Genomic DNA, 16,815 nt, shown 5'->3' on the forward strand with positions numbered 1-16,815 from the left:
AAAAATGGCCTAACACAAATAGGTTGCAATTTTCTCCAGTTGCAGATACAACTTTCAATGAAAACTTAGATATTTCAAAAAGGGACACTTAGATAAAGCCAAACTGCAAATTAACAAGGTCTTTATGTGAAGCACACTGTGTAGACAGAGCTTCTGTTGACATTGGCTTTGCTCTACCTGGAGGCCTTGCCACAGCTGAGCTTTACTCATGGCTGAGCTATCACCCACTTCTGAGAACCCTTTTCCTCTGTCATTCTCCATACCTCTACTGCAAGATGCCTGCCTCCTCAGCAACCTTGAAAGCTGCCCTCTACCCAGAGCCTCCTCCTATATTGCACCCCTTTACTGCCATCCCCATCTTTCTGAAAAGTTCAGTCCAAAGTGGCTTAACTCCAAGGGCACAGGACTCATAAAGAGTATTAATTAAGGCTCGCTGTTCTGATGGATAAATACCAAAAGCTCAGTGATTTTACACAATTGAAATTTATTTTTGTATATCCAACTATCCATGTGGCACATAGCAGGCAACCTTTACACAATGATTCACGGACCTTTGTTTGGTCAACCCCTAGAGAGACTGGTGGACATTCTCTTCCAAACATTGGACAGAACAAAAAAAAAAAAGAGAGAGAGAGAGAGATTGAAAGCAAAGGAATTCCCGGGAAAGATTACTATGGGCCAGGTCGGCACATGGTAATTATCACTTCCACACGTATTTGTTGACAAGAACAAGTTGCATGGTCGCATCAAACTGCAAGAGACATTGGGAAATGCAGTCCAGCTGTGTGCACAGGAGCAAGAGTAAATGGATTTGGTCAGCACCTTGCTCTCTGCTGAGTAGGGTCCAGTACTGAGGCTGAGGGTGGAGTCTTGGACTCGCTCTCCAGTACTGCTTTTCTGTGCAATGGGACCTGCAGTTTTGCCCTTAAAGGTTTCTGAAGTTGGCTTCAGAACCTAACCAGAAGAATGGGAGCTGCTTGAGGGCTCAGCTTTGGGCACTTAGTAAATGTTTTTGGATGGAGAATTTCTATGAAAAAATGTGTTTTGAGTTATAAACAACCTATTTATAAACAGATTTTAGTAAGAAATCCCATCTGTAAGTTGGGAACTAAATATGCATGTGTGAGCATAAATGCATATGTCATATTTTGCAAAATCTTGAGAGGGTGTAAATTTGGATACTGTGTAAGGTCATTGGTGATTGACTCCCATCCTCTAACAAGCTTCAGTTCTTGTTGCAGGGAGGAGTGGGTCAGAGGCAAGTTAGGAAGCGACTATCCATGATCATCTGGGATTTTCTCTGTGCAATCTATAGTCTGTTGTAGATTTGTTGTAGAACAACTTAATAGCATTCAGTTGATTCTCTATGTCTGTGGGCTTTATGACAGTACAGACTGGTTAAAAATACTGTCTTCTATTAACCTTCAAAAAAGCAATACAATAATTTATGAGAATAAAAATTTTTGGACCCCATTTATTGAATTATGGTGAAATTTTATTTTATATTCTTACACATATGCAAATATGTCATTTGAAACATATGCTTGAAGAGTATGCAAAAGACCGCTGGCAGTCTAATCACTTAGCTCGGGCAACAAACTTTACTTTTTAAGCTACATCAGAGCTCCCTCTTACTTTTGAAGATGACAAATAGCTTTTTATAATCCCCTAACAACATAATCCTGCATTACATTGTCCATTTTAGAGGACAGATGATGTCATGGGCTTAGAAATTAAAGTCAGGAAATGTTAGATCTGCTAAGAAGTTGAATAATACATTTCTGATGAGAAAAAAAAATGTACATAGACTATCTTCCAGACCCACTTTGCATTATAAAATATTTCCATAACATGTACAGACATGTGAACATAAATGATACTGTGTTTGTGATGTCTACATTTATACTTATGGAACTGGAACAGAGGTGGCAGAGTGTGGTAGAAAGAGTACTGATATAGGAATCTAGAGACTTGAATTCTTGACTCACTTCTGAATTGATTAGCTGTGTGACCTGGAATAAGTCACCTAACTTCTCTGAGTTTTGGTTCCCTCCTTTGTAACACTGAGATTTGGATTAAATGACTTAGTGCACATCAAGTATCCGATACATTGCACTTAACCATTCAGAATCTCCATTTCTACAACTAGAAAACTGGTCATAAAATTATCTGCCCCTTTTTCATCCCAGGGTTATCTTAAGGATCTGAAGAAGAAAAATATTTAGAAAAGAGCTTTGTAAGTTGCAAAGTGCTATGCAAATATAATATGTTTCAAAGAAAAATAATCACATTCATAATATTGGACTCTTTGGCACATCTACTTAGTCTGGACTCAAGGGTAGATACAGCAGAGTTTAAGACTCAGGTATGCTAATCAATCTAACAATCATATAGAAAGCTGGATGTTATTTCCATTTTTGTTTTGTTTTTTGCTTGGTTTTTTTTTTTTTTTTTTTTTTTTTTTTGAGACAGAGTTTCGCTCTTGTTGCCCAGGCTGGAGTGCAATGGTGCGATCTCCACTCACTGCAACCTCCGCCTCCCAGGTTCAAGTGATTCTCCTGTCGCAACCTCCTGAGTAGCTGGGATTACAGGCATGCGCCACCACATCCGGCTAATTTTTTTGTATTTTTTAATACAGATGGGGTTTTGCCATGTTGGCCAGGCTGGTCTCGAACCCCTGACCTCAGGTGATCCACCCACCTTGGCCTCCTAAAGTGCTGGAATTACAGGTGTGAGCCACTGCACCCAGCCTATTTCCATTTTTGATAAGCTATAAAAGATAGCCTAAGTCCAGACAAAGAAATTATTTAAAATGTTTGTTATGATATCTCAGTAACATCATAGGTGGTTGCTGTAGCACTCCTTCTTTACCAGCCCAAATGAGAATGTCCCCTAAAAGCCACACACAAAATATATGTGTGCAAAGACTAAATCTATAGTAAAGTAAGCTTTTTAGGTAAAAGCAAAGCATAACTGCATTGGAGAAATGTATCATTTTCTATAAGACAATCAGACCTATAAAATTTAAGGAGTAAAATCAGAAAAGGAATAGAAAATCTAGGCATGTCTGCACATCAGTTAAAGCACCGTCAGTATGATGGCTAAATATTCAAGAACAAATGGTAGGGTCATTGCTCTGATTACTCATTAAACCCTATCTGTGGAGAATAATAATAATGCATTCACATCTTTTGTTTTTCACTTCCCCATGGTCTGGGCAGCATCCTGGACAAGATCACAGCAATGACTAAGAGCTGTGCTTTTGGAACTACCCCTGGTAGGTTTAAATTCAGGTTGTGTCACTTGCTATCTTTGTGTAATTCAGCAAAACGCTTAAGTTATTTGAGCCTCAGTTTCCGCTGTATTAATGAAACTATTCCCTCATTTCCAACTGAAAAGGAGACTGATATATAATGGGATCGCTCTTAAAATCAAACAGAAACAAAGTATATACATAAAAGCTTACTGCAGTGCTAACACATAGTAAGTGCTTAGTAACTCGTAGCTATTGGACTATTACAGGGCCAGGATTATCAAGACTAATTGAGGGGTTAAGGTTTTCTATCTCACAATCTGAACCCTTCCTCTTCTAGTTCTCCTTAACTTCCCTAAATAAATATTTTATAACTACTAGTTGTGACCATGTGACACATCATGAGGTTAATTTGGCCAGACTCAAATACCAATTATTTAAACAGACTAGAATGGAATCAAATGGGGTAGAATAGAGTAGACTAGAATAGGAAATTTAGTATCCATGTATATCACATATAGTGAGATAAATATTATTATATGCAATTTGGGAGGAGGTGTTACTAAGATGGGATGAAAACTGTATTTCCAAATGTGGAATGCTATCAAAAGTGTTTCAAAGCCACAGCCCTAAAACTTTCCATTGTACCCTCTAGAATCCATAGTACCTCATGAGTAAAATTTTTTTCTATTTTAAGTTCCAGGATACATGTGCAGGACATGCAGGTTTGTTACATAGGTAAACATGTGCTACGGTAGTTTGCCGCACCTATTAGCCCATCACCTAGGTATTAAGCCCACATGCATTAACTATTTGCTCTCCCTTCTCCTGCCCCCAGCCCCTGACAGACACCTTCCTGTGTCAATGTGTTCTCATTGTTCACCTTCCACTTATAAGTGAGAATATGCAGTGTTTGAATTTCTGTTCCTGTGTTAGTTTGCTGAGGATAATGGCTTCCAGCTCTATCTGTGTCCCTGCAAAGGAAACAATCTCATCCTTTTTTGTGGCTGCATAGTATTCCATGGTGTATATGTACCACATTTTCTTTACCCAGTCAATCATTGATGGGTATTTGGGTTGATTCCATGTCTTTGCTATTGTGAATAGCGCTGTAATGAACACACACATGCATGTGTTTTTGTAATAGAATTATTTCTATTCCTTTGGGTATATAACCAGTAATGAGATTGCTGGGTCAAATGGTATTTCTGGCTCTAGGTCTTTGAGGAATCACCACACTGTCTTCCACAATGGTTGAACTGATTTACCTTCCCACCAACAGTGTAAAAGCCTTCCTATTTCTCCACAGCCTCACCAACATCTGTTATTTCTTGACTTTTTATAATTGCCATTCTGACTGGCATAAGATGGTATCTCATGGTGGCTTTGACCTGCATTTCTGTAATGATCAGTGATATTGAGCTTTTTTCATATGTTTCTTGGCCATATAAATGTCTTCTTTTGAGAAGTGTCTGTTCATGTCTTTGCACACTTTTTAATGGGGTTTTTTTTTTTCTTGTAAACTTAAGCTCCTTATAGATTCTGGATATTAGACCTTTGTCAGATAGATAGATTGCAAAAATTTTCTCCTATTCTGTAGATTGTCTGTTCACTCTGATGATAGTTTCTATTACTGGGCAGAAGCTCTTTAGTTTAATTAGATCCCATTTGTCAATTTTTGCTTTTGTTGCAATTGTTTTTGATGTTTTCATCATGAAATCTTTGCCAGTGCCTATGTCCTGAATGGTATTGCCTAGATTTTCTTCTAGGGTTTTTATAGTTTTGGGTTTTACTTTTAAGTCTTTAATCCATTTTGAGTTAATTTTTGTACAAGGCGTAAGGAAGGGGTCCAGTTTCAGTTTTCTGCATATCACTAGCCAGTTCTCCCAGCACCATTTATTAAATAGGGAATCCTTTCCCTGTTGCTTGGTTTTGTCAGGTTTGTCAAAGATCAGAAGGTTGTGGATGTGCAGTCTTATTTCTGAGATCTCTATTCTGTTACATTGGTCTATGTGTCTGTTTTTGTGCCAGTACCATGCTGTTTTAGTTACTGTAGCCTTGTAGTGTAGTTTGAAGTCAGGTAGCATGATGCTTCCAGCTTTGTTCTTTTTACTTTTTATTTTGTTCTTTTTACTTTACTCTTTTTACTTACAATTGTCTTGGCTATACGAGCTCTTTCTTGGTTCCATATAAATTTTAAAGTAGTTTCTTCTAATTCTGTGAAGAATGTCAATGTTAGTTTAATGGGAAGAGCACTGAATCTATAAATTACTTTGAGTAGTATGGCCATTTTCAAGACATTGATTCTTCCTATCCATGAGCATGGAATGTTTTTCCATACGTTTGTATCCTCTGATTTCCTTAAGCAGTGGTTTGTACTTCTCTTTGAAGAGGTCCTTCACTTCCCTTGTTAGCTGTATTCCTAAGTATTTTATTCTCTTTGTAGCAATTGTGAATGGGAGATGATTCATTATTTGGCTCTCTGCTTGTCAATTGTTGGTGTATAGGAATGCTTGTGATTTTTGCACATTGATTTTGTATCCTGAGACTTTGCTGAAGTTGCTTATCAGTGTAAGAAGCTTTTGGGCTAAAATGATGGAGTTTTCTAGATACAGGATCATGTCATCTGCAAACAGAGACAGTTTGACTTCCTCTTTCCCTATTTGAATACTATTTCTTTCTTTCTCTTGCCTGATTGCCCTGGTCAGAACTTCCAATACTATGTTGAACGAGAGTGGTGAGAGAGGGCATCCTTGTCTTGTGCCAGTTTTCAAAGGGAATGCTTCCAGCTTTTGCCCATTCAGTATGATATTGGCTGTGGGTTTATCATAAATGGCTCTCATTTTGAGGTATGTTCCATCAATACCTAGTTTATTGAGAGTTTTTAACATGAAGGGATGTTGAATTTTATTGAAGGACTTTTCTGCCTCTATTGAGATAATCATGTGGTTTTTGTCTTTAGTTCTGTTTAGGTAATGAATTATGTATATTGATTTGTGCATGTTGAACCAGCCTTGCATCCTGGGGATGAAGCCCACTTGATCATGGTGGATAAACTTTTTGATGTGCTGCTGGATTCGGTTTGCCAGTATTTTATTGAGTTTTTTTGCATTGATGTTCATCAGGAATATCGACCTGAAGTTTTCTTTATTGCTGTTGTATCTTTGCCAGCTTTTGGTATCAGGATGATGCTGGTCTCATAAAATGACTTAGGGAGGTGTCACTCCTTTTCAGTTGTTCGGAATAGTTTCAGAAGAAATAGTACCAGCTCCTCTGTACCTCTGGTAGAATTCAGCTTTAACTCCATCTGGTCCTGGGCTTTTTTTGTTTGGTAAGCTATTTATTACTGTGTCGTGAGTAAAATTTTCTACATCCTCAAGTCTTTTCGGAATATTCCCTTTGTCTTCTTACAGTAATTCAATATTTCCCAAAACTTGGTGCTCATCAGAGTCTCCCAGAGGGTTTTGTAGTGGCAGCCTCTAAGATACTACTTACTGATCCATCCCTCACTCCTCAGATTCACACCCTGGGTAACACTTTCCCTTAAGTATGAGCTAGAAGTAATATCTCACTTCTAATGAATAAATTCAGCAAAAGTAATTGTTTATCACTTTTAATAATAGGTTATAAAAAGAAACAGATTTCTGTCTCTCCCTGACTCTCTCTCTCTCTCCTCTCCATCTTCCTCTCTTCCTCTCTCTTATTGCAAAATAAATCATATAATGTTTTAAAACATTACCCCATGTGGTACACTGATTGCATTTAGGGCTGGAGTCATTCACCTGTCTCTGCATCCATATCCCTTTGCCATATAACGTTGTGGCAACTCCCACTGGGAATCTAGGCTTAGCCATGTTACTTGCTTTGGCCAATGTGATGCTAGCAAATGCAAACACAAGCATTGGCTTCAAGGGGAGGCACTATTGGAGTTGTTCAGTCTTGCCCTCTGCCATTGCCATGAGAATATGCTCTGGCTAGCCTGCTAGAGGGTGAAAGACAGAGCAGAGCCAAGTCACCCAGTCTTCCCAGACGAGGCCATCCTGGATCAGTCAACAGCCAACACACCCCAGCCAAAATCAGCCTTGCTGTCTAGTGGACCCACAGCTGACCACAGACATGTGAGGGAGCCATGAGAGTCTGAGAACCAGACCAAAGTAGCTGAACCTCTCAAACACCTGAGCAAAATAAATATTTACCGCTGTAAATTGTCTGTTACATATTGGATAATATTATGTAAAAAAGCATTCTCCTTCTCTGTGGATATCACTGATGAGATCCCATGTACTTACAAGAATTTTATTTATAAAATTAAGATTTGCTATTTACTAGAATTATTAAATATGCACATATTGACCTAATCATTACATAACCATTGTATATTGCAACTTAGAATATCCTTCATTGTATTAATGGGGAGGATAGGGACTGGGGAGAAAGGTATTTGCTCCAGAGACCCCTGTTGAAAAACAGGAGATTGCTGCAAAACGATCTGATGGATATAAATTTTTCACACAGTGCACTTTGGAACTGTTCCCATCTCCAGATACAATTAGAGGAAAGCACTGACCCCATCCCAAGTCAAGCCTTGAGCCTGCAGATTCCTGATGGTAGGAGTGAGGGTCCTGCCCTCAGGACCCGCTGGAGGGTAGAACAGGTGGGTTGATGTCTGCTATATTTCCTCTTGGGCCAACGCACTTCAGTAAATGGTCTCTATTTTAGAAGCCCAAATATCAAGAGGACTTTAGAGGACTGGACTAGGATATCCTGAGACTCAAAGCATTAACAAGATCATGATGCCCATTGCCATAAGTAATTTAAAAGATTTGTTTTTCAATGACACAAAACCTCATGTATGCTGTGATCTAGCTATTCTAATTTGGGGAACTTTCTGACATTACTAAAAACCAAACTTCTTTGTATTTTAGTGAATTTCTGTGTATCCATTTGGGGGTGGGAGGGCTTGTTTTTCTCTTTTCTTTACATATTTAGCCCTCCTGTGGGGTATTCTACCTATATGCAGATTAGAAAACAACCAAGGAAAGCTAGATTTTCTTTTTCTACCTGGGTCTCTGACTGACCTAACCAGTTGCATCTATTTCAGAATGGAAACAATTTGTACCAACAACAAACCTTAATTAATAAATCCAAAATAGATAAAGTTTCATATGCTGTGCTTTGGAAAATAACTTATTTCTGAATGTGAGTCATTCTAAGAACAAACTCTAATTGATCATGTAAATTCAGCCTATACAAATTTGTGTTAAATATCATTACTTAATAAACTTCTTAACCACCTTCCTGATTTTGAGCCTGCTTTCAAATTTTAATTAGATGTAATGATCAGACAGTTATAAAATGCTAACATTCAAAGAGGAATTGATGTACATAGTTTTCACCCTAATATTTGGGACCTGCCATTCTGGATTCCAAATGTAACCTGTGCATGGTTTCTTAGGACTCACTGGGTGTGTATCGTCTAAGGACTCTAAACGTAATGCATGTAATAGTTACATTCATAGGATGGCTATGTAATTTTATTAACCAAACTAGTAAGCTTCAAAATGCAAACTATAATACATACAAGTTGTAGCCTGTAGTTGTTTCCAGAATCAGACTTTTAAAGTTAAAATTCTCATTGTTTTTAATTCAGATATCTTTTACTCTGGACTAAGAGGCAATCCTCCCCATTCTTGGTGTTTAACAGGAGGCAGCGACTTTAGAATTCTCTCCCATTTCAAGTGCCCACAAAACTGCTATTGCTGCTTACAAAAGTTGTGCATAAGCCTGGATACAAAACAAACCCTATGGGGAAAGAAAAAAAAAAACGGGTCGATGAATTCACCCAAGTGCAAATTACCTCAAGATTCATTTTTCCCTTTTTGTAGAACTAACAAGTGAATCTTACTGAGTTGGGACCAAAGAAACCCACTGAAGTGAGCCTTTAAGAGACATTTGTGCTGGTGATGACAGCATTTTCATGGTAATTTGTTAATGTTCTTGCAAAGCAGGGGTAATTTACTCCAGTAAAATCTAGCTAATAGCCTTGTAGATTTGAGGCCTTCAACCAAGGGCCACATGCAGGCCTTGGGCGGCCTAGTGCCTGTAGGACTGCATAACCACCAGAAGATCTCACACCTGACCTCCTGGCTCACACCTGACCTCCTGGCTGACTCCCTTTCTCAGCCTCACACCACCGTCACATCTCAGATCCAGTTCCCAGTATGGGACGTCCAATTGGTGTTAAAGGGAGCAGGGAGCTTGGGAAGGGGCAGGGCAGAAGGCACAGCATTTGTGAGTGTTAAACTCAGGAAGGCATGAACCTTCAAGCTCTCTTTTTTGGAGGCAGGCTTTAACACAAAGAAAAGAAAATGATGTGTAAAAACATACATCAATATCATTCATTTTCTTTTCTGATTATAAAAATAATACACATTCATTATAGATTTTTGAAAAACAGAAAGACCTCCAAATGGGGACAAAAGCACCAATAATTGTATCTAGACATCTTGATGCAGTTCCTGCCAGTTTTTCTCCATGCAGACTTTAATTACTTTATGCAAATTTATTGTGTATGAATACTTTTTTAAGAAAATCTGATTTTTTGGCCACATAATATCACTATTTGTATGCACTGTAAGTTATAAAATGTTTCCATTATTAGACAATATAGGTGATTTCCATTATTGCATAACTATAAATAACATAGCAGTGAACATCCTTATACAGAAATCTTGGTCTCCCACTCTAATTAGGTTTTTAAGATAGATTCTCAGAAGGGATAAGTGGAATCAACGGGCATGGATGTTTCAACATATTTGATACATAAAATCAAGTCAAATTGCTCTGCAGAAAAGCCACATCGATTAGACAGTGTGTTCAGCCACGTGGTAGGAGAGGCCTTTATTAATGCACTTTCACCAACATTGAGTTTTTAATCTGTGCTAATTTGACTGGTAAAATGACAGATCGAAAGTCACATTTTCAGTTTATGTGTACAAAAGTTATTATATATAGCTCAGTTTGCTCATAAAATTAACATATTTGGGCCATTTAGAAAGCCATAAAATGAGTCACTGAATACCAAAAGTGACTTCAAAGAGCATGGAATATACTGAAGGCGAAATTGTTTGCCCAGGCCACTCTGTAGTGATGAACTCAGGACTAAAACCCAAGAATTCTATTTCCCATCCCAGCGTTCCTAAGAAGAGATTTTTAGTAAGATAGAACCTGCTTTAAAATGCAGAAAGAATGGAGAGGCGGAGGAGACTTTTAACTGTGGTTTGATAAAGCTGTTTTCCTCACTAATTTTTCAATGCTTTCACACTGTCCGAGGCTGGTGGTCCTGACATCTGGCAGCTTTTTAACCTTAACTTTTGGAGGGGAAAAGTCAAGAAATACAAAGTTGTTTCAGAATTAACCAAAGCAAAGTATCACTAGGAAGCTCAGTCCATTCCGAAGATATCTCAAGAGACCATCTATAATAAAATATAAATGACTCCTCGTGGTCTCTACCCGAGTTGTCTGTGATTCATTCATGGTGAGAACATGAAGGTATAAAGGCCACAACTAAAGATTTTGCTTGTTACCACGCCTTTAAAACTTCCTTTTTAATTTTTTACATGCAATTCTCAATTCTTCCCAATGAGAGAAAGGATCTTTGTCCCCTCCCCTTGAATCTGGGCAGGTTTGTGACTGCTTTGACCAATAGAGTATGGAAGTGGTGCTATGTGATTTCCGAGTCTAGGTGATAAAAGGCAATGCATCTTCCTCCTTCTCTTTTGGGAACACTTGTTCTTGGAGATATTAGCCAACCTGTGAGAAGCACCAATACCCTGAGGCCATTATGAGGAAGTTCACACCACAGAGAGAGACCCTGAGTAGATGTGCTGATTTACAGTTCCAGCTGAATGCAGCCTTTGAATCACCCCAGCCCAGGTGCCAAACATGTGAGAGAAGAAGCTTCCAGATCATTCCAGTCCCCAGCCATCTGAGTCAACTTCAGCCTTTGTGTCTGCCCAGTGAATGCCTCAGACATCATGAAGCAGAAGCAAGTCATCCTTACTGTGCTCTGTCTGAATTCCTGACTCACACAATTAATGAGCATAATAAAATGATTGTTGTTTTATACTCCTGTGTTCTGGGGCATTTGTTGTGCAGCAAAAAAGAGGTGAAATAGATCATGTCTCACTGGATTACTCTCCACTTTTTCATTTCCTTACTCAACTTGTGGGCTACCAGTGTCCCCATCATTCTTCCCAGAATCTCTGTGGATTGGATCAGTGCATCCATATAATATATACAATATATAATATTAATGTGTTTCATGGTTGCATTGAAAAAGAGACTTGAAAGTCACCTAGAACACATGAAAGGACCTAGAAATGGATTTTCCTGTTGGCATTAAAATGTCTGAGATGTTTTCTCTGCTCTGTATTTTTCCTCTACTTCCTAACCTTGCTCATAATTCGTACCCACATCTCTGATGTAAAGCATTTCCAGAAACTTCCCATACTTAACCTAAACAGCCAACAGAGGTCAATTTCATTTAAAATAACAAAAATAAGCTATGTTGAGTTGTATGTTAAGCAGTTTGCTTACATTGATTTAGCATCTTGATTGTATGAGGTAAGTCATATTAACATATTTTGCTGAAGAGGAAACTGTGGTTTGGAGTTGTAAGGTAACACAGCCTCTAAATGGTACAGCCAGGATTTGAACCCAGGGTCAAAGGACCCCAAACCCAGATTTTAACCTCTACACTGGTAGCTTACAAGCTTTTGGTCTACACCCCATGGTAAGAAATGCATCTTACATCATGGCCAATAAATACCCACATATATATAACTGAAATAAAAGTATCAGGAAACAAGAAACATCTTGACATGTATATAGCACATTGACCTCTCTATTTTTCCATTCTATTTCTCTTTCTTAAAAATGTAGATAGTAACCCACGAAATCGATTGTATAACCTGCTGCAAATTGATCACAACACAGAGACTTTAAACATTCACTTCACTACCTTTTCCCATTTGACTTAAAATCTGAGAGGTCATTACCTCAAAACTCTTTTCTTCTTATAAACTGAAGGTCACTACCTACAGGTTAAAAACAAAAAGTTTTAATACAACTCAATTTTTTTTTTTTTTTTTTTTTTTTTGAGATGGAGTCTTGCTCTGTCGCCCAGGCTGGAGTGCAGTGGTGTGATCTCGGCTCACTGCAAGCTCCGCCTCCCGGGTTCACGCCATTCTCCTGCCTCAGCCTCACGAGTAGCTGGGACTACAGGCACCCGCCACCATGCCAGGCTAATTTTTTGTAATTTCAGTAGAGACGGGGTTTCACCGTGTTAGCCAGGATGGTCTCGATCTCCTGACCTCGTGATCCGCCCGCCTCGGCCTCCCAAAGTGCTGGAATTACAGGCGTGAGCCACCGCACCCAGCCACAACTCAATTTTTAAAATTAGAAACAAGCCTTAAAATCTCTATTCACAAATTCTAATATGAGACTATTTAATAAAAAGCCCTATTTGGTACATTTAGCAAACAATAAAATTGATACCTCAATTATATTTTATATTCAGTTGTTGGACAGAACAACCCTGGCCACAGCCCTCACCAGGCTCACAGCTCAGGACACTGCCTGCCCTCCTTGCTCTAGATTTTCTGACCATCAGCTGACCAAAGAATTGTGATATGGCAGAGCATGAGAAAATTAGCTGGCCCAATCTCAGCACTTAGAATGATGGGAAAATAAGCCAAAGAATTGTGAGAGTAGAACTAAAAGTGCACAAGACAGCACTGGAGATGGAAAGGCCATAGCAATTATAGACAAACCACAATGATAAAGGAACAGAAGAAGCCATGTGGAAGGGAAAAAAGAATGGAACACACATTCAGAGAGAAGCAGGGAGAGGCCCTGTACCCATGGGGAAGACGGAGTCAAAGAGAAGCTCATCTCTTGCATGGCAGCAGGTCCTGGTGGCTTTTTGGTTCCAATTCCAGGGCACACATATTCAAAATGAAGATATATCTTTCTTTCTGGAGGAGATTTGCAGGGCTTTTAGTTCTGCATCATCCAAAGATCCTTAATTAAAATGGATGCCCAAAATATTCTCATGCTATAAATCTCAGAGGAAGGCAGTGTGAGACAGACACAGAGTCAGATGAGAGACAGAACTTCATAGTGGGTATCTGCATGCTTTTGCCTTTTAGAACATTAGAAATAATAATTACAATGCCATTTCTTTGATTAATACAGTACTTTACAGTTGACAAAATAATGACACATAATCATCTGTAAAATGGAAATAATAATTATAATAGTACCTGCCTCCTATTTTTGTTATGAAGATGAAATGAGTCAACACATGTAATCCTTAAGATTAGTGCCTCCCATATAGTGGATGCTAAACCAATAGGCTTTGATCCTATGATAATACTGTGACATGGACAGGTATTGCAGAGCCATTTGATAGGTGAAGAAACAGATAGTCAGAGAGACCCCAGGCCATGCTAAAAGCTACACAGCCAGTAAGTGGCAACTACAGTCCTCAGGCTTCTTATCTATCCATTAATTCCACAGATATTCATGGAGTGCCAGTCTCACTCCATACAGTGAATGTGACAGGTGCAATTTCTGCCCTACAAAACTCACAGTCCAATGCTCTTTCCCAAGTTTTACCATGTTTCTATAGTACAGGCATCAGCTAGACAATTGTTATTTGTTTTATGCCTTGCAAATGAGATTAGTCTAATAAAGAGCCACAAAACCACATGCATTTTCCAGTGTCTTGAAAACATAGAGTTGGTACCAGTCTCCTGAGCTCACTCCCAATCCCTGTATTATAATTAATACTATGGGGAATTGGGAATGCCATATTGTATTTCTTTGTATAATTATCTTTCCCCATGCCTCAACCCAAGACTCTCAGCTCCCTGAGGGCAGAAACTATCCTCTGAGTAGCACAGAGGATGTGCATAATAAATACTGGTTAATTTTAAATGAATAAAAAGGATATCATATCAGTGCAGATGTTTTGATTTTTCTTAATACTCAGATTAGTCTTAGTTTTTAATGCCACTGAGAGGTTTTTATTCCCTGAGTTTTGACGGGGTTTTGGTTCATTGTTTAGAGTACATCACCATCCACCACCCCATCCCATGGTGGTTTTTCAGTTTTAGAAGTGGAAAAAGCTCAATGGGACCTGAAGTAGGCAGCCAGAAACTAAAATTGTTTCCACAACCACCACCAATAACACTTTCATGCCTTTCCTAAGCCCTAAGCTCTAGGAAGGCAGACACAAAAAAGTAAAGGAGTAAAGAGAAGAGAAAGTGAAGGGGAAGAAAAAGTTGGAAAACAGCACCAGTCAGACATGACAAAGTAGAATTAAAATTACCAAAACGGAAAATTGTAGAGTGCCATTTGACCCTCTCTTCATTCCTACCAGATCAGAAAGAGAGTCTGGCTGATTGAATATATATATATATATTCTTGATCTCTGTCTCTATGTATGCCTGTATGTATGTATACATGTATGTATGTATGTGTGTGTGTGTGTGTGTGTGTGTGTATAAAATACATCAAGAATGATCAAGAATAATTCATCAAAAATCCATGTGGAACACTTTGGAGTCTTTTATTAAAAGTAAACCTTTTTCTAAAGAACCATGATAAGTTTGTAAATGTAAAATTAGTCATGCTCAAATAAATCTATCAACCAGAAACATAGCTCTGGCTTTTAAATCAAGCCACCACTTTTGATTAATTAAATCTTACCCAAAGTAGATTTTCCTTTATTATTAATGTATTTCATTCATATCAATTCAGAGTAGAGCAATTTTGAAATCAAAATAAATTTTTACCAAAGCCAGGGTTTACAAAATCAACAGTGCTACATGTTCATGGGTTCTGCCTTCATGAACTGTGGGAGAAGGAAAGGTAGCTGGATTTTGAAACTTCACAAAATTCTAAACATCAAATATTGGGAATTAGCAGTAAATAGACAAAGTTTTAGAGACCCTCAAGATAAATTTTCCAAAGTTAGGCTTCTCTCCTGGTTAACATAAGTCAAAGGATTCTCTGAAAAAATACAGTAAATTTGAACTTTTGTGTGGCCTTTTTATTTGCATGTCTGTGTTTTAGCAAGCACCCTGGAATGGCAAATGCTTCCTCATTGGTGGAACCATGTAGATTCAGAAAAAAGCCATCTTCCATTGAGAAGACAATTGTTTTCTATAGAGACAAAAAACAAATGCCCATGACCCAGGTCACCTCATCCCAGCAGGCTTTTGCCGCGGCTTCCTCTGAGCAAACACAACAAAGTCCAGAGCAGTCAATCCTGCTGCCCCACACTGGGCCCCCACAGTTGTGCTCTGCTATTTACCCTTCCTATTAATCTGTCAATGTTCTAGTCAAACATGCAAAACAATATGGTGGGCACATAGTTTGATTGGTCATTGCTAAGTAACTTGGACCAAAGATGAAGAAATGGAACTTCCAACCAACAAAATGTGAGGCCCAATCTGATTGTTAGAAAATGTTCAACAATACCAGTGCATGACAATTTTCTCAGGGTGGCTGTGATTTAACATCTCTCTCACCGAAAAAGAGTGGTCCCAATAAATGACACTCAGTTCCAGAATCTAAATTCAGGTCATGTTGCTGTTCCTATCATTGCAGCATAGAACTGTCTGGGCATTTTGCAAAGGAAGATGTTCATTAGAAGATGTCATCATTCCACAGTGAAAAGACCGTTGAGGAATTTGGTTTGGTACACAAGTTGAGTCCCGGGCTAACAAAGTATTTTTTGAACTGAAAAACAAGAGTCCTTGGTTCAACACTTCCTGGATGCTGAAAAGTATAACTCTGTATTTCCAAAAGGCAATCTGAATTATCAAACATTTTGAGCAAATTTAATAGCTTATATTCTTATTTCACTTTCCTCCTTTTCTGCTAGGCCAGATGAAGCCTCAGAATCTTTCTCAACACAAAGCTGTGGGTAGCCACCTTTATTCTCCTGGGATTAACATGAAAGATGGGGCCTGTTTGTCATTCCAGCCCTAGACCCTCAAGTGAACATATTCAAGTACAAGATGTACAGATGAGCAACAACTGTCCAAGAAACACCTTTTTAGAAATACAGAGTGTGCATTTCCTTGCTGTGTGTTTTCAGAAAGCAGGAAGTATGGAAAGAGTAAGTGGCTAGGATGTCAGAGCATACAGCAAATTTAAAGAAAACATAGATAATGAAAGCAGGCTGATGTGGGGTAAAATCCCCACCATTCACTAGCTATTTACAAGGTATTTGTCCTGCGGAAAATAACAGCTCTGAGACATGTTTGTTCATATATAAAATGGAGAAAATGAGACCACATACTATATAAGTCAGGACATCTGACTCCTGTCCCTGATCCATTCCCTCTGTCCACTTCGCCACAGACCACAAGCAGCTCCAGGCTATATCCTTGCCATTTTTGGACCCAAGAGGAAAAGAAACTCTCTCTTCCCATAATGAGTCCAAAAACTGAGAGGAAGAACTCTGGCTTGATATGGATTACGTGTTA

At 38.6% G+C, this 16,815-nt stretch overlaps 1 protein-coding gene across 33 annotated transcripts in view, besides 2 other annotated features; it reads right to left on the reverse strand.

Moving 5' to 3' along the window:
* C12orf42 (chromosome 12 open reading frame 42) overlaps window positions 1–16,815 on the reverse strand; it is a 516,167-nt gene that overhangs the window by 412,036 nt on the left and 87,316 nt on the right. For 4 of the 33 annotated variants that reach the window (XM_011538300.2, XM_017019280.2, XM_017019279.2 and 1 more), the window contains one exon: window positions 8,835–9,055. The exons of 28 other annotated variants lie outside the window; for them this stretch is intronic. The gene's annotated coding sequence lies outside the window, so the exon portion shown is untranslated. Of the gene's footprint in view, window positions 1–8,834; window positions 9,056–15,852; window positions 16,782–16,815 lie in introns of those variants that run through there. One more of the 33 variants, XM_011538297.3, reaches the window with a different exon arrangement.
* Window positions 3,095–3,144: a silencer, noted in NCBI's record as "silent region_4778". NCBI's record gives its function as "represses an Ori minimal core promoter by ATAC-STARR-seq in GM12878 lymphoblastoid cells {active_cell/tissue: GM12878}" and the evidence as "EXISTENCE:reporter gene assay evidence [ECO:0000049][PMID:35858748]".
* Window positions 11,103–11,242: an enhancer, noted in NCBI's record as "active region_6892". NCBI's record gives its function as "activates an Ori minimal core promoter by ATAC-STARR-seq in GM12878 lymphoblastoid cells {active_cell/tissue: GM12878}" and the evidence as "EXISTENCE:reporter gene assay evidence [ECO:0000049][PMID:35858748]".

The sequence above is a fragment of the Homo sapiens genome, chromosome 12 (assembly GCF_000001405.40).
Source record: "Homo sapiens chromosome 12, GRCh38.p14 Primary Assembly".
NCBI classification, from domain to species: Eukaryota; Metazoa; Chordata; class Mammalia; order Primates; family Hominidae; genus Homo; species Homo sapiens.